We start from the raw sequence: 18,508 nt of genomic DNA, 5'->3' as shown, positions 1-18,508 counted from the left end.
CATTCAGGAATGTTATCAGTGGTTTGAAAAGGGATGTGTTGCTGATATGTTGAAGACTTGAAACTTAGGGTGTGGGAAAAGTCAAGTCCTTGGCTCCCAGCTATGGAATTTCCATTCCCCAAGTGCATCAACTTGGCCTTGAGGTGTGGTAAGCATTTATAATCCGGGAATCAGCTCTGCGGTATCAGATCTACCTCCAGATCCTAAAAAAACCGCATTACCCAAACAGTTCCCTCGACCATGTGCTTCTGCTTGGCTGAGGAGCCTCCTGGTGTGGTGGGTACCTCTCATGTTGGGGTTTTTCTAAACTAGTCTGGAAAATAATGAGCTTCCTCCAAACTTTCAAATGACCTTTGCCCCCAGGAACTGTCACCTGGAAAACAAAAACGTAATGGAGGCTTTTCCCCTTCACTTGCAGAGGGGCACCTGGACAATGATGCAAGCACACCTTTGGAGAACATTGCTTCTTTTCTTTTAACTTTGTGTATTACTCCTCCCAAGGGTGTTTGCATTTATATTTTTGATATTTAATTGTAATTACAAATGTCACAAATGAATATATTTTAATTAAAGAAAATAAATGATTGTACTTAAAAGTAATCTCCCTTGACCATCACCCATAATCTCCTTCACCTACTCAGATGTAACCACTGTTATCAGTTTTGTGTGTATCATCCTTGAATGGTATCATCTGTGTTTTCTCCAACCAAAGGAATTGTACTGGCTTACTAATTTCACTCGACAAATTGTAATGAGGTTTATCCACACTGATACACGAAGCCCTGGTTCATTTGTTGTAAGTGGGAACGGTTTTCCACCATAGGGATATACCACAATCCACATATCCATTCTATTTTGATAGAGGCTTAGTTGTTTCCAGAGTTTTGCTATCACAGGCAGGGCTGTGATGGTCACCTGTGTGTGTGTTCCCTTGTGCACTGTGTGAAACCTCAGAGAAAATGCTGGAGCCTATGCATGTAGCAGGTTCTGAGCTGGTGCCACATTGCTCCCCGGGTGGCTGTGCCCTTCTGCACTGCCCCTGCCATCTGTGAAAGTGTCCACGCTGCTTGTCAATGATTGATATTATCAAACATTTAAGCAGACCAATCTGATGAGCAGAAATAATTTTTGTTTTCATTTGCTTTGCCCTGATTATATTTTTATCGTTTATTTCTATTTCCTCTTGCAAGGAATTGCCTTTTCATTCATCTGTTGCCTATTTTGTGGTTTCTTGATTTTTTAAAATTAAGTTGCATAAGTTGGTTGTGTATATGAATCCATTGTCTGATATGTTTCACATATGATCTCTTTCATTGTTTTTCTGCCTTTTAAATTTTCTTAAGCTTTTAATGATGATAGAATCAAATTTATCCAAGTTTTCAATATGGCCATTGCTTATTGGCCCTTGCCTAGAAAGAAGTTCCTCATCTTGAAGTAATAAAGTCTCCTTTATTTTCTGCTAAGACTTATACAGTATATACAGCTTTGCCTGTTTATATATGATGTATTTATTTATTTGTAGTCCTTTCATTCATCTGGAATTTAGTTTTGTGCATGGTGCAAAGTCAGGACTAGAGAGCAAGGAACAACTACAACATGGCCAGAGCTGGGTTCCCCCAGCCTGTTAAGCACTATACCCTGGGTTGGCTCTGTCTGCCTGAGGCACCTTCTGCAGGCTAAGGAATGTGCCCAGAGGACAGCTTTTTTTTTTTTTTTTTCCACAAATTTACCCAAAGGCTGAGGAGTGGTGAGAGGAGGAGCACAAAGAGGTGGGGGAGGCCGGGCGCAGTGGCTCACGCCTGTAATCCCAGCACTTTGGGAGGCCGAGGCGGGTGGATCACCTGAGGTCGGGAGTTTGAGACCAGCCTGACCAACTTGGAGAAACCCTATCTCTACTAAAAATACAAAATTAGCTGGGCATGGTGGCATATGCCTGTAATCCCAGCTACTTGGAAGGCTGAGGCAGGAGCATCTCTTTAACCCAGGAGGCAGAGGTTGCTGTGAGCCGAGATTGCACCACTGCACTACAGCCTGGGCAACAAGAGCAAAACTCCGTCTCAAAAAAAAAAAAAAAAAAAAAAAAAAAAAAAAAAAAAAAAGAGGTGGGGATATGAAACGAAGAGGTGGGGGTATGAAAGTGGGGGTAAGGAAGGTGGGGTATGGAAGGTGGGGGTACGAAGGTGGGGGGTATGAAGAGGTGGATTATGAAGGGGTGGGGTATGAAGGGGTGGGGAATGAAGGTGGGGGTATGAAGGTGGGGTATGAAGAGGGGGTATGAAGAGGTCGGGAACGAAGGTGGGAGTGTGAAGGTGGGGGTATGAAGGTGGGGTATGAAGGTGGGGGTATGAAGGTGAGGGTATGAAGGTGAGGGTATGAAGGTGGGGGTATGAAAGTAGGGTTATGAAGAGGTGGGGTATGAAGAGGTGGGGTACGAAGGTGAGGGTATGAAGGTGGGGGTATGAAGAGGTGGGGTATGAAGAGGTGCGGTATGAAGGTGGGGGTATGAAGGTGGAGTATGGAGGTGGGGTATGAAAGGTGGGGATATGAAGGTGGGGGTACAAAAGTGGGGGTTTGAAGGTGGGGTATGGAAGGTGGGGGTATGAAAGTTGGGGGTATGAAGGTGGGGTATGAAGGTGTGGGTATGAAGGTGGGGGTATAAAGAGGTAGGGTATGAAGGTGGGGGTATGAAAAGGTGGGGAATGAAGGTAGGGGTATGGAAAGTGGGGGTATGAAGGTGGGGGTATGAAAGTGGGGTATGGAAGGTGGGGGTAAGGAAGGTGGGGGTATGGAAGGTGGGGATACGAAGGTGGGGGTATAAAGGTGGGGGTATGAAGAGGTGGAGGTTTGAAACAGAACTCTGCCCTTCATTTTTCATTGCAAATGGACAGCAAATGAGCTCAACAGCATTTATTCAATTGTCTATCCTAGCCCTGTTGGTTCAAGACACCACCTTAGTCAAAATCGGGATGTTCTATTTACCAAAAAGCAACGTTCACTATCTTTTAATTCCCTTTTTCTCCTTATACCTCAAATAACAGTATGTAGAAAAAAAGGTAATAAGCCATCCACCCCCATCCTCTGAGTTAAGTGAAATGAGTATTTTGTTGTGAATAACTTTATAATTTTAGTTCTAATTAGTAAATGGTAGTATCTAAAGGAAATAAACACAATGGATAATTTAATATTTGTCTATTTTTAAAAATAGAGATGGAGTCTTGCTGTGTTGCCCAAGCTGGTCTCAAACTCCTGGGCTCAAGTAATCCTCCCACCTTGGCCTCCCAAAGTGCTGGGATTACAGGTGTGAACCACACCTCTCAGCCAATATTTATTTTATTTTATTTTATTTATTTTATTTTATTTTATTTTATTTTATTTTATTTTATTTTATTTATTTTATTTTGAGACACAGTCTCGCTCCATCTCCCAGGCTGGAGTACAGTGGCACAATCTCGGCTCACTGCAACCTCTGCCTCCTGGGTTCAAGGGATTCTCCTGCCTCAGTCTCCCAAGTAGCTGAGACTACAGGCGCCCGCCACCACACCTGGCTAATTTTTGTATTTTTAGTAGAGATGGGGTTTCAACATACTGGCCAGGCTGGTCTCGAACTCCTGACCTTGTGATCCACCCGCCTCAGCCTCCCAAAGTGCTGCGATTACAGGCGTGAGCTACCGCGCTGGCCTCTTGGCCAACTTAGTATTTAAAAGCAGAATTTTGACTGAAATGCCTACTTGGAATGTTATCATCTCTGCTGCTCTAAGCAGTGTGTCCTTGAGTAAATAATCTGACCCCTTAAATTTCCTCAAGCTTAAAAGGAGGACAGGATGAAGGCTGCGTCCAAGGTTGCCGAGAGTTCACGGAAGTTATGCTGGCAGAGCCCCCAGCAGGCGAGCATCTGTAGTGTGCTGGTGGGGGGAGGGCTGAGTGACTTACACCCTCTTCCAAAGACAGGCGAGTGAAAGGTATGGTTTAAACGAATGCTGCAGTATGGGGTGGGGTCCAGGTGGCAGAATGCATTGGCTAATTGTATCTGCTGGGGACACTGGTCTTTGGGCGCTTCCTGGGAGCAGGAGGGAAGCTCCCCACCTTATGGTCCCCATGGGCACTTTCATTCCACAGGGACATGGGGTCTGAGAAGCATGGATGGACTTACAGTGGACAGAATATTTGAAATTAGGAGAGCCTCAGAAAATGGAGCACGTGGTACTCCTACTGAGTGGTGCTACCTCCTCGGGGGACCTCAAGGCATTGATGACGAGGTTTCCATAGCTTTGGAAAGCTATGGACCTTTTTTATCTTGGACCTTTTTCAGATCTTGGACCTTTTTATCTTGGGCTTTTTTCAGATCTGAAAATCCCTAGAAACATCAGGCTGCACAGTGGCCTCAATTGAGACCAGCACTTCTGCCAGAGGGGGCCTCTCACACCTCCAGAGAAAGAGTGGTCAGGACAAGAGAAGCGCATCCCCCAAAGCTGGTGGTTCAGGCTGGCACAGCTGGCTTTGTTTGGTGCAGAGACCATGAAGGGTCTCCAGGGTCAGTCCTTGACCAGTGAAGCTGGGTGTTGGGGTGTAAATATCCTAGCTCCCCACTCCTGATTGGGATAATTGAGGTGAGACCTACATTGTCCTCAAGCTCCCTTTAAGACGGACCCAGGCGGGGAGCAGTGGCTCACGCCTGTAATCCTAGCAGTTTGGGAGGCCGAGGCGAATAGATCACTTGAGGTCAGGAGTTCAAGACTAGCCTGGCCAATATGGTGAAACACCATCTCTACTAAAAATACAAAGATTAGCTGGGCATGGTGGCATGCGCCTGTAATCTCAGCTGTTCTGGAGGCTGAGGCAGCAGAATCGCTTGAACCCAGGAGGCAGAGGTTGCAGTGAGCTGAGATTGTGCCGCTGCACTCCAGCCTGGGTGACAGAGAGAGACCCTGTCACAAACAAACAAACAAACAAACAAACAAACAAACAACCGACAGATCCAAATTTACCCTTAGGGGACTTCACCTGATATTGGACCTCTGATCTCTGATCTCTTTCCCCTCCAGGCTCCAACCCCCACTTCACCATGCGTTTCTCTTGGGAGCACTTCCTGATAGCCACTTTCACACAGTTCTTCGGCTCTGGGCCTGTTTCTGGGGAACCCGACCTAGGACACCCCCAGCCTTCCTGCTTGGCGCCGCTCGGTGGGTTCTTCCTGGAGCCAGAGATGCTCCCAAACGCCCCCACCTGGATGCGAATTCCACGGAGCAGGAATGCTGTCCTTTGGTTCACTGCAGTCTCCTCAGCTCAGAGCAGTCCCTGGCACACATTAGTTGTTGAGTGAATCAAGTGCTCTTCCCTCTCCGCCTTCCTCTTGGTGACTTCTCTGTTCATTTTTGTGCCAGGCAGGGGGTAAATCAGGACAGAGAGGAGGCGGAGCTCGGATCCAATCCATTATAACCTCAGCTGGATGGGATGGGAAAGTTGCTGACGTGTGGCATCCACTAAAAAGAGACTGCTCGAGTTTTCAATTATCCACCACCCAAAAACACCAATGTGCTTGCACATCCAGGAGGCAGCGGTTCTCTTCTGATTCTGGGGGAAGTTCTCATTGAGTGTAAAACGTTTGCTTTCAAACAATTAATAACTAAATTGTAAACTGCTCCTCTCAACATACAAAAGAGATCAAAGTGGGCTCCACCTTGCCAGGCACTCCTCACCACACATGGGAGAGGCTGTGAAGGGCCGGGAGGACATCCCTGTTTAGGCGGCACCCCTGATCAGTGGCACTCCCAGAGGCTTAGCCCAGAGTTGTTTTTATTAAAAAACAAACAAACAAACAAACAAACAACCCAAAAAACTGTTTCGGCTGGGCATGGCGGCTCACGCCTCTAATCCCAGCAGTTTGGGAGGCAGAGGCAGGTGGATCACTTGAGGTCAGGAGTTCAAGACCAGCCTGGCCAACATGGTGAAACCCCGTCTCCACTAAAAATACAAAAATTAGCTGGACATGGTGCACACCTGTAGTCCCAGCTACTCAGGGGCTGAGACAGGAGAATCGCTTGAACTTGGGGGGTGGAGGTTGCCAGTGAGCCATGATCACGCCACTGTGCTCCAGCCTGGGCAACACAGCGAGACTCTGTCTCAAAGAAAACAAAAACGAAAACAAAAGAACTATGTTTGAAATTACACTGCAGAGCAAACACTCTGATATAACCTTCAATTTGGCGCATGCTCACAGAGAAAGAAAAATAAGTTGTAAAAGGTGCGTGTAGTATCTGCAGTTCAATGTGTGAACTACGGAAGCAGCGTGTGTGGCTGTATCTTGAAACAGTCCTCCTGCTGAGGCCTTGATCTATTGCATCAGTTGTCTGAGTCCAGTGTTGCCTTAGATTACTCCATGACCTCTGGATTATTCAATGACCTTGGCAGTCACAGATGGCACCATACTCCTGCCTGTGGCTTTGCATTTTTAGGTTCAGTAATAAGTGAAATGATTGAAGTACCACAAGGGATGAAGTTTTTCCTTTTTTTTTTTTTTTTTGAGACAGAGTCTCGCTCTGTCGCCCAGACTGGAGTGCAGTGGCGCGATCTCAGCTCACTGCAAGCTCCCCCTCCCGGGTTCACGCCATTCTCCTGCCTCAGCCTCCCAAGTAGCTGGGACTATAGGCGCCCGCCACCATGCCTGGCTAATTTTTTTTGTATTTTTAGTAGAGACGGGGTTTCACCGTGTTAGCCAGGATGGTCTTGATCTTCTGACCTTGTGATCTGCCCGCCTCGGCCTCCCAAAGTGCTGGGATTACAGGCGTGAGCCACTGCGCCCGGCCTGGGATGACGTTCTTTCTAAGAGTGGTCACTAAGGCTTTCGGCAGCCCCAGTTAGTTTTAGCATTGGTGTTTTCAGTTAGATCTTGCATCTTTTGCTTAATATTTTTAAGATGTGTTTATAGAGTACTTATTAAGCATCAGGCTTTGGGTCTACAATAGGGAAGAAAAATACATAATGTGCACTTTCACATTTTTATTTATTTTATTTTTTATTTTCTGAGCTCTGTTGTCCAGGCTGGAGTGCAGTGGCATGATCTCGGCTCACTGCAGCCTCCACCTTCTGGGTTCAAGCAATCCTTCTGCCTCAACCTCCCAAGTAGCTAGGATTACAGGTGTATGCCACCACGCCTGGCTAATTTTTGTATTTATAGTAGAGACGGGGTTTCACCATGTTGGCCAGGCTGGTCTTGAACTCCTGAGCTCAAGTGATCTGCCCGCCTTGATCTCCCAAGGTACGGGGATTATGGTGTGAGCCACTGCACCTGGCCACAAATTTAAGATACTATTAATGATAACACACACTCTTATTTTATATAGTATCAAGAAAAAGAGCCCTGCCACTTTTATACACCATTGACTACAGGATATAAATGATTTCAGGGATAACATTTTGAAAATCTTATAACTGAAATGTGCTGACTTATGTCTTCATAGAGCTCAGGTTGAAGGGGCCTGCAGGTGTATAGGTCAAATATTAGTGACTTGTTTGGTTGCATTGTTAGTGACAAACATGCTGTGTGGGGACCAGCATCCTGGAATTTACAAAATAGAAACTGGCAGATGACCGGCAGGCCTTCCAGCATCCTGAGCTCTCCCTAAAACCCTCTCTGGATATAACCGGGACTCTCGCACGGCATCTGTCATCCCCCAGCTGGAAGGCTGACAAGAGCAGATTCCCACATGGCAAACAGTTGCTCCACCTCAGCTTCCTGGGGAAACACAAAGCCTGGAGCCCACTCCATGAGAAGTGAGAGCAACAATTCACTGCGGGGCCTTCCAGCCTCCCAGCCTTCAGAGAAACTCCATTGGAGAGTAGCTTGAGTAGATTTGCCGTGAATATCAACCTTGTTCTCCCACACATAGTTCAGCCACCAAAGGCTGTTCTTACAGCAAATATAACTATGCCAACTTCAATAAAGCACAAAATATTCCCTTGCAAAGGCATACTTGGGCTCTGCGTAACACATCTACCTAAGTGTCATCCCAGATGTCATTTTGTATTTTGTCTGATTTTTTTTTTTTTTTTAATTAAGGCCCAGACTCCGTAAAGTCAGATGCTAACTTCTGGAAGGTCTGTAAATTGCAAATGATGTTTGTCCAGTAGAAAAGAGAACCCCAGAGGTTTTAATTGTATTGCCTTTTATGTCTTTAGCCAGGTTTGTATTGGGTTGTACCTTTTGAAGTTGAGTTGTTTGAAGGTCAAAAAGTGGTTGAATGCTGACAATAGCAAGCTTATCTCTAACCTTCAAAGGTAGATATGCAAAAGTGGCTCATAGTAGATGACAAAGTTCGTTTAAGGTGTTATTCTTTTGCCCACTGAGTCTTTCCCAATCTTTGCCCCATTTGGAGCCAGCTTTAATGTCCTGTTGATCTCATTAATGAGTTAAATCAATCTTTGACACACACACACACACACACACACACACACACACACACACAATGTATTTGTATGAGAGTCACGTTTTTTCGTTTTTTGAAAATTATCCCTGAAGTTTACAGCTATCCATCTAAGCTATGGGACCTTGGCCTTGGGTGGGAGGTTGCTTAACCTTTCTGGCCTTTGGTTTCCTTAAGCTTAAAATAGACGAGCAGGTTTCCAGTGCCTCTTCTGGCTCTAACTTGGTGTCCCCCCAGCTGTCCCACTTTGCCTTTCCGGAATGCACTGGCGTGGGTGTCACAGTCACATTCACTTCCCTTTTACCATTTCTGGCTTCTTACCACTTGTCTTCACTGGGTTTTCTACAAGCACTAGAGAAAAAAGATGACTTGCTCTTTCTAGAAGACAATCTGAATGTGTATATCAACATTAAAGTATGAAAACTGTTGGATTCAGCATTTCTACTTCTAGGAATTGACCCAAAGAAATAATCAGATACATGTAAAAGAATGCTTTGGGCAATATCATTTATGATAGTGAACAGGGGAAAAAGTGCTAAATGTCAAACAGCTGTGGACTGGGTAAATAAAGTGTGTACCCCAATATGATGGAATGCTATTCCGCCTTTAAAAGGCGATTCCGCCTTTAAAACATATTTCTTGAGATGTACAGTATATATCGATATATTGTATGTCAATATATCAATATAGTGATATGTTATTAAGTGGAAATAAACAAGTTGTGAAAAGTATGTGTTCTCTGAGCTCACTTAAGTAATAGTTGTGGCTGCACTTATGTATGGATTTACATAATATAGTCGAATCACAGACAGAACAAAAATCTGAATGCATTAGTGTCAAGATGCTCACTGGCTTCATTCCCGAGTGGAGTGATTAGAGGTGGTACAATTTAGGTCTCTTTTCTTCTTTACACTTTTTAAATTTCACAGTAAAAATAACTATTATCATTTTAGGAAAAATAGAAGAAAAAGAATAATTTGATGGATGGAATTAACAGAGAGCCTGGAATTGGCAGCAGAGCAATCAGACAAGTTTCCTCTGGAGCTCCTGGGCTCAGCCATTTAGTACTCTGGACAGGTGCTTACATTTGCCATATGGAAGGCTGGCAACAGATCACTTGGTTGGTGCAATTCTTGGTAAAACAAAGGAAATAAGGCATTCGGTGGATGACCGTGGCACAGCTATTTAATTATGTTCCTCACTCCTGGGCCCTCTCCCTCCCTGAAGCTGGGGCTTTGCCATTTGGAGTCGTACCTTACCCACTCCGCCTGCCTTTTTTTTTTTTAAATTTTTTAAATATCTGCTTAATTACACAGCAGGGGCTGACTTCAATTGGAATGGAAGTCACTTTTCATTCTAAAACATTAGCTATGTGTCAGGTGGTTTTCACTTTTTCTCGTTGTAAACTCTGAGTTGTACTTTTCCTGCGCCCACTGCTTCTATGCCACTGTCTCCAGATGCCTATGAATTTCAAATGCACAGATGGAGCCAGGATCTGTATATCAAGCAGCATCTCCCCAAGTGGTTTCCACCCAACACAAGCAGTGTAGGATGTGAACAGGCACGATTTCAATACAAACACTACTGCTCGAACAACAGTGGAAGCACATTAAACATTCGATAAAATGAGGTCACTGAAGACTCCTCAGAACTTTTCAGATGCTGATGTCCAGGGTTGGTCTCCAGGGAGTGAATAAAGTATGCGGGGTTCCCCAAACCTACTGGCTTTAGGGCTTTCTGTTGATGATCATTTCTGGGGAGCAGTGGTCTGCAAAACTCTTTATTTTTTATTTTTTGGACAGGATCTCACTCTGTCGCCCAGGCTGGAGCTGGAGTGCAGCCTTGAGCTCCCAGGCTAAAGCGATCCTCTCAACTCAGCCTCCTGAGTAGCTGGAACCAGAGGTGTGTGCCACCACGCCCAGCTAATATTTTTATTTCTTGTACAGATGGAATCTCGCTAGTTTGTCCAGGATGGACTCAAACTCCTGGCCTCAGGCAATCCTCCCGCTTTGGTTTCCCAAAGTACTAGGATTATGGGCGTGAGCCACTACACCCAGCCCCCAAACTCTTAAAGAAATGCAAACTTAAAGCAGTGTTCCTGGGGACAGTAACTGCTGTATTTGGAATTTCAGTTTTGTTTGTTTGTTTGTTTTTTCTGAGATGGAGTCTCACTCTGTCACCAGGCTGGAGTGCAATGGCACTATCTCAGCTCACTGCAATCTCCGCCTCTCAGGTTCAAGCGATTCTCCTGCCTCAGCCTCCCGAGTAGCTGGGACTACAGGCGCGTGCCACCATACTCAGCTAATTTTTGTATTTTTAGTAGATTCAGGGCTTCACCATGTTGGCCAGGATGGTCTCGGTCTCTTGACCTCGTGATCCACTCGCCTCGGCCTCCCAAAGTGCTGGGATTACAGGCGTGAGCCACAGCGCTCGGCCAGAATTTCAGTTTTAATTAAAAAACAAAACAGGAAAGAATGGAGTAAGGGTTCACAGTGAAAGGAATTGGATAGGGGAGATGAATCTGTAGCATGCAATATCAGAAGGGAAATTTTGAAACAGAAAATGACAAAAAATTTTCTGTAAATTGAGCTTGTCAGTGTCCTCTGAGCACATAGAGTTGGTTTAGGGAAGGAAGAGAGCAGAGTGGGTATGAAAAGGGAATTTGGATTATAAGCAAATATGAAGCTCAGCCATTTTCGGTCTTGTGAAGATGATTAGTTACTCTGAGGGGATGAGTCACTAAGATTTGAAATTTACTGAAATGCAAAGGTTTGTTCCTCATTTGGAACCTGCGCTCTGATGCGGACATCTGCTGAGACACCCTTGACTTCTTAATCCAGATGGGACACATGGAGCAGAGACTGTGAGTGCTCTGCCCACAACCCTTGGAAGTCACCGTTTTCTTCTGTTGTGATGGCTCTACTGCAGGCACCTGGAAGTCTCTGCCCACAGCTGAGGAAGCTCTGTGGCTGGGAGTGAGTGCTGAGCAGATCAGACCACAGTGCTGGGGAGTTAATACCCCAGGGCAGCCCTCAGCCAAGGAGGGATGGCAGTGGGTGCACAAACACCCCAGCTGCCTCGCTCTTATGTGGAACAACTTGGATGCCCCCACACAGTCTCTCAGAGGTCCCCAGTGGGATTGCACCATGTATTGGCTGCCTCCCCTTCCTGTCTCACTCCCCTACTCTCCCACATGAACTTTCTGTGATCACTCAACACAGAATAGACTACTTGCATTCGTATTCTGTCTCTGCTACTGGAGGAACCCAAACAATGTTTTTCTTTTTACTATAAATTCAGAGCAGGAAATCCCTGCTGGGATTCGCTCCATCTTAGGCAGTCAGATACCTTCACTACCCGTAGGGCCTTTTCTCCCAGCTGCACTGCTGTCATCCCGAAGGTCTTAGGGAATGGCCACAGAGGGGTCTCTTGTGCTGTTCTGCTCTCATTGAGGTTGTAGTGACCAGAACTGGGCACAGTTTCCCAGTGCCACCTTAGTCTCATCTCTCCCTGACACACACAAAACACCCTTTGTTATCATTTAGGATATAGCTAACAGGATAACATTCACAAGACTGGTGTTTCTCAAACTGGAATGTGCACACGCATGACCTAGGGACCTGGTGAAGGTGCAGGTTCTGATTCAGAGGCATTCCGTAGGGCCTGAGAGTCTGCATTTTTAGCAAACTCCATGGCTGACGGGCAGACCACACTGTGAACAAGGTTCCACTGGAGTGTGAGAGCCCCAACCACAAGACCAATTCTTTCCCAGGTCGGTATATCCAGTGTCTCGTCCAGCTGGCTACATAGTGGGTGCTGAGTTTATATTTGTTAAATTTGGCTCTTGCAATTGATTAACACATCGATTCACTAATTTAATTCAGCTGCCCAGCTTCAAACACGAGAGCAGCAACTGTTTAATGCAAATTTTTTTGATGCAATGTCCTTCTGATGGTGGGAAAGTACATACTGGGAAAGTCATACAGGAACACCACAGAACAATGCAGAGCGTGTGCAGACAGGCAAATTTGGTGTGAGTCATTGTCAACTCACACCATTGTCAACATTATTGAAGACCTGCTACCTTTAGGGTAATAGCCTAACTAGACACCAAAAGAAGCATAAGATATTATTTCTATCCCCCAAAAGGCTTGCAATGTGACTGAAAAAATGAGACAGACAATAAGAAACAAGCATCAGGTGAGTGGTTAAAGACAGTAGTAACCCTGACAACTAGTTTGCTTGATCTAACTCACTTGACATCTCAGTAAGCCCGTCTGATCACTGAACTGATAATACTGTTATTAAAGCCACCTGGCTCTCCTAGACCGCAAACTCTGGTAGTTGCATTTCACAAAATTCAGATTCAACTTCACACGCACCCCATCACAACGCACGTGTGCATATGCCTATGGGCAGATGGGCCCCCTTAATCACATAGGTTTTAATATTTTTATTCGGGGCAAGAGAAAAAAATAATCTTCCTTAAAAACAGGTTCTAATCCACATTCATAGCAGCATTATTTCCCACAGTCAAAAGGTAGAAGCACCCAGTGTCCGCTGATGGATGAATGAATAAGCAAAATGTGGTCTTCTCATACAATGGAATATTATTCAGCCTTAAAAAGGAAGAAAATTATAACATATGCTACAAAAAGGATAAACTTTGAGGACATTAAGCTAAGTGAAATAAGCCAGTTACAGAAGGACAAACACTGTATGATTCCACTTGTAGGAAGTACCGAGAGGAGTCAAACTCATAGAAACAGGAAGCAGAAGGGTAGTTACCAGGGGTTGAGGAAAAGGAGGAATGGGGAATTATTTAATAGATAGAGTTTCAATTCTGCAAGATGAAAGGAGTTCTGGAAATGGATGGTGGTGATGGTTGCACAACAATATGAATGTACTTAATGCCACAGAATTGTACATTTAAAAATGTTTAAAATGTGACTGGGCATGGTGGCTCATGTCTGTAATCTCAGCACTTTCAGAAGTCAAGGCAGGAAGATGGCTTGAGCCTAGGAGTTTGAGAACAGCCTGGGCAACACAGTGAGACACCATCACTAAAGTGCTTAAAATGGTGAGCTTAAAAAACATGGTTAAAAATGCTTAAAATGGTAAATTTTATGTTATGTATGCTTTATCACAATTAAAAAAAAAACAGTAAGATCTGAGAGCTACAGTGTGAACAACGACAACAAAACAGAATCCCTAGAAAATAACTTCATAGAAAACAAGGTAGAAGAGTTTCTTTTTGTTTATGAATATATGTCATGGAGACCTTCTCTTGAGAAAATGATCTATACGAACCCATCTCCAGCTTCTAAATTCTGGGCTCCTCCAAGAAAATGACAGTAATCAGAGGCAAAGCCCAGGAGGGCCCTAACTGTGAAGAGGACCTCGCAGCACTTTCTCTGGACCCATGCGCATGGACTGAGGCTCAGCCTGTGCACCGCACGCTCATGGCACCTCTTGATGCTGTGGACAACATGCAGCTTCCTCAGCTGTGCCTTTCCCACACCCCGGGGTTTTCCATTTCCTAGTGACATCAAACATTCAGGATGGAGAAGAAAAACCTGCTGTTCACCCAAAAAGGTGGTTAGAAATGACCATCCCGGCGTGGTCGTGGTAGCTCACGCCTGTAATCCCAGCACTTTGGGAGGCTGAGGCGAGTGGATCACTTGAGCTCAGGAGTTTGAGACTGGCCTGGCCAACATGGTGAAACCCCGTCTCTACTAAAAATACAAAAATTAGCTGGGCATGGTGGCAGGCGCCTGTAATCCCAGCTATTTGGGAGGCTGAGACAGTGGAATCGTTTGAACTCCGGAGGCGGAAGTTGCAGTGAGCCGAAATCGCAGCATGGCACTCCAGCCTGGGCGATGGGAGTGAGACTTCATCTCAAAAAAAAAAAAAAAAAAAAGAAAAAGAAAAAGAAAAAAGAAATGACCATCCCAGCAATGGATGCAGGGGCTTTTCCTGATGGGAACAGGCCTCCTGGAGCCAGGTGAACTGGCTGAGATGCCCCTGGAGAGGGGTCTGGCCTGGTAAAAAGCATGGACCTGCAGCAGGAGACCAAATCAGGTTCTGGGGTGGTGAGAGCACAGTTGAACCCCAGGCTTCCTTCCTTTGTGTCTTTAAGCAATGCTCATATGAAATGTGTCTATGTGAAAGCCCTTTCCCTGTTCTGGGTCACAGCATTTTGACTCAGATGAGAAACTTGTCTGGGTCCAGTTGACGTGTACTTGAGGAGTCCTGGAGTTAAGGCTGAGTTTTAGAATCTGCTTTTCATGTTTAGCTTAATTCAATTATGAAAACACATCAAATGGCTACTCTGAAATGGGTAGAAGAGGCCACAGGAGTCCACAGGGCCAGGAAGTAAAACCTGAACTAAAAGGGAGCCCTGTAGATCCTTCCATCAAAACCACAGACAGCCCCTGTCTTGTGGACCCATAGCCATGGCTGGCTGCACATCTGTACGCTGGGCTCACCCACGCGATTCACCTATTCTGATAACAAAGAGATTCATTTTGTAAAAAATGTCACATACAAATGCCATTCAAAGCCAGTAACAGGTATGTTGACTTTGTGGAAATTCACTAAGCTGGATATTGACGTGAGCACTTTCTGCATGTATGTGACACTGAAGCAAAAATTCACGGAATGAAATGAGTGAGACAGGACCATTTGGAGGCCAAAGAATCATGACAACTAAATGCAGTGAGGCAAAGAAATAGGAAAAGAAATAGTATAAGGACATGACCAGAGCAATGAACAAGCTCTGAAAATGAGCTGTGGGTTAGAGAGGAGTGTTATATTAGTGTTATCAGTGTGTGTATAATAGCTTTTTGGCTTGTGTCTTTTACTTACTGTTTGTGCAAGAGAATGTCCTTGTTCCTCAGAAATACACAAGGAGGATTTAGAGATAAGGTGGTGTGGTCGCAGGTGTGTCTCCAATGTATTTTCAGATGGTTCAGAAAACAGACTACATATGTAGCTATATAGAGACAAAATTATCTATTTATGTAAAATATTGACATATTTGGGCCAGGCGCGGTGGCTCAACGCCTGTAATCCCAGCACTTTGGGAGGCCAAGGCGCACAGATCATCTGAGGTCAGGAGTTCGAGACCAGCCTGGCCAACATGGTGAAATCCTGTCTCTACTAAAAAAATTAAAAAATTAGCTGGGCAAGGTGGTGCATGCCTGTAATCCCAGCTACTCAGGAGGCTGAGGCAGGAGAATTGCTTGAAACTGGGACGCAGAGGTTGCAGTGAGTCGAGTTTGCACCACTGCACTCCAGGCTGGGCAACAAGAGTGAAACTTTGTCTCAAAAAAAAAAATTTACATATTTATATAATTCTGCATATGTGTGTGTATGTGTGTGTAGAAAGAGAATGACAGAGCAAGGGCAGTGAAATGTTAACCACTGGTGCATATGGAACCAAGGTAATGGATATATAAGCGTTCTTTGAACTCTTCTTGCAACTATTCTGGAAGTTTGGAATTATATCAATAAACTCACTTCCTGGCTGGGTGCGGTGTGGCTCACGCCTGTAATCCCAGCACTTTGGGAGGCCGAGGCAGGCGGATCACTTGAGGTCAAGAGTTTGTGACCAGCCTGGCCAACATGGAGAAACTCTGTCTCTATTAAAAATACAAAATTAGCCGGGCGTGGTAGTGGGCGCCTGTAATCCCAGCTCTGTGGGAGGCTATGGCAGGAGAATTACTTGAACCCAGGAGACAGAGGCTGCAGTGAGCCGAGACTGCGCCACTGCACTCCATTCTGGGTGACAGAGTGAGACTCCATCTCAAAAAAAAAAAAAAAAGTTCACTTCCTCTCACAGAGAAAAAAAAATTCAAACAATATACACAAGAATGATTAAAAAAAAGAAGAAGAAAAGAAAAAGAAAAAAGAGAGTATGAAGGCCAAGCATGGTGGCTTATGCCTGTAATCCCAGCACTTTGGGAGGCCAAGGTGAACAGACGACTTGAGGTGAGGAGTTCGAGACCAGCCTGGCCAACATGGTGAAACCCTGACTCCACTAAAAATACAAAAATTAGCTGGGCATGGTGGCGCATGCCTGTAGTCCCAGCTACTCAGGATTCAAGGGGAAATCACTTGAACCCGGGAGGCAGAGGTTGCAGTGAGCCAAGATCGTGCCTCTGCACTCCAGTCTGGGTGACAGAGTGAGACCTTGTCTCAAAAAAAAGAGAGAAAGTATGAAAAAAATTAAAATAAATAAAAAATTAATGTACACAAGATTAAAAACCAGGTTGCAAGGAAACACTTCCTTAATTTCTCCTAGCACATCTTCAGAGCTCACTTTGCACATTCTTCCTGTTGGGAAATCTCTTCTTTGAAAAGTTCAGCCAGCTCTGTGCCTTGTCCTCAAAATCTGCGTTGATGGACACTTGGGATGCAAGCTGGAGGAAGCGTGTGCAGCTACCACAGGGGCCCCACCTTTTCCTGCTCAAGACTGGCTGGGCTCCCAGGCATGGCCGCATCATGGTCCCCATTTACTAGTAGCCGCACCACACCCAGGCTGCCTGCTGAGTGCCTCTGGGGAAGCCAATGTCTTGTGGCCACCAAGGAGACCAGTTTAGCTTACTGATGAGCCCTGGAAACCACACAGACCTGGCCTGAAACTAGCTCTGCTGGCTCCTACTACCTATGGGACCTGTGCGGCGAGACTGTAACCTACCAGGATCTCAGTTTCCTCATCTGTAAAAGATGAGATAACTTGGTGGGATGGTGAAAGGGGACCAGCATGATGATGCCCACAATAGTGGGCACAACTGCTCCAACCCAAATCATCCCATGCCAGCGGGGAGTAGGGTGCAGAGTGTGTGCCGGGGCTCAACACAGAGACGTGCACACAAGCACACAAATGCTCATCTCGGATGAACTTGCCCAGCACTTGGCTGTTGAAAGTTCCAGAAAGGAATGATTTCAATTTCAGTATATAGGTAACTTCTGTGTCACTTGGGAAAAATTGAAATTATTTTTAGTTATGTATAAGTGGTGGCGGATCAAAACTCCTCAGTATTTGGGAACCTCTGAAGGCATTTAATCTTGCCTTGGGGGTAGGGCAGGGAAGGATGTGTGGGGTGAATGATGGGACGGAGGAGACAACGAGGGGGATTGGAGGAGGAGATTATAAAGCTGGCTGCTCTGATGACAGGTGTGTTTGTTTTATGGGCCTCAGTGGGTTACTAACAAAAACTGAAGAGCAGACTGGGCGCGGTGGCTCACACCTGTAATCACAGCACTTTGGGAGGCCCAGGTGGGTGGATCACCTGACGTCAGGAGTTTGAGACCAGCCTGGCCAACATGGCAAAACCCAGTCTCTACTAAAAATACAAAGTTAGCTGGGAGTGGCGGTGGGCGTCTGTAATCTCAGCTACTTGGGAGGCTGAGGCAGGAGAATCACTTGAACCTGGGAGGCAGAGGTTGCAGTGAGCTGAGATCAGGCCATTGCACTCCAGCCTGGGCAACAGGAGCAAAACTCCATCTCAAAGATAAACAAACAAACTGAACAACAGGCGTGGTGTTCCACGTGTATTTTTTCCATTGCCCACCCCTAAGCCCAGCTCTTTCCAAATAGTGGATATTCCACAAGTGACCACAAATCTCTGAACAGAATGGAAGGAGGGCCGCCAACTTCTGCTGCCTGTGAGTAATTTCTGACTCTTCAATTTGATTCTGAAAAGCTTTGAACTTTGAAACTCGAAGTCTTAGTAAATAAATGATGATGTTTTGGGGTTACTTGAATTTTTCTCAATCTTCATTAACCTGCATGCTGGGAATGAGAGATTGTTTCCACAGAATTATTTTACTTACCAGAGGATTATCTCCCCACCCCCTTGATGTCCAAACTCTTTCTTTCTTTCTTTTTTTTTTTTTTTGAGACGGAGTCTCGCTCTGTGGCCCAGGCCGGAGTGCAGTGGTGCGATCTCAGCTCAATGCACGCTCCGCCTCCCGGGTTCACGCCATTCTCCTGCCTCAGCCTCCCGAGTAGCTGGGACTGCAGGCGCCCGCCACCACGTCCGGCTAATTTTTTGTATTTTTAGTAGAGACGGGGTTTCACC

The 18,508-nt window shown here is 45.5% G+C and overlaps 1 protein-coding gene across 16 annotated transcripts in view, besides 2 other annotated features; it reads right to left on the bottom strand.

Annotated features, from left to right (window-relative positions):
• Nucleotides 1-18,508, bottom strand: part of RIN2 (Ras and Rab interactor 2) — a 244,858-nt gene that overhangs the window by 75,641 nt on the left and 150,709 nt on the right. The gene's annotated exons all lie outside the window — the stretch shown is intronic.
• Nucleotides 11,264-11,333: an enhancer, noted in NCBI's record as "active region_17602". NCBI's record gives its function as "activates an Ori minimal core promoter by ATAC-STARR-seq in GM12878 lymphoblastoid cells {active_cell/tissue: GM12878}" and the evidence as "EXISTENCE:reporter gene assay evidence [ECO:0000049][PMID:35858748]".
• Nucleotides 14,815-14,864: an enhancer, noted in NCBI's record as "active region_17601". NCBI's record gives its function as "activates an Ori minimal core promoter by ATAC-STARR-seq in GM12878 lymphoblastoid cells {active_cell/tissue: GM12878}" and the evidence as "EXISTENCE:reporter gene assay evidence [ECO:0000049][PMID:35858748]".

Source organism: Homo sapiens, chromosome 20 (genome assembly GCF_000001405.40).
Source record: "Homo sapiens chromosome 20, GRCh38.p14 Primary Assembly".
Classification (NCBI taxonomy): domain Eukaryota; kingdom Metazoa; phylum Chordata; class Mammalia; order Primates; family Hominidae; genus Homo; species Homo sapiens.
Note: the sequence above shows the minus strand (reverse complement) of the source record. Positions and strands in the feature narration are given on the sequence as shown.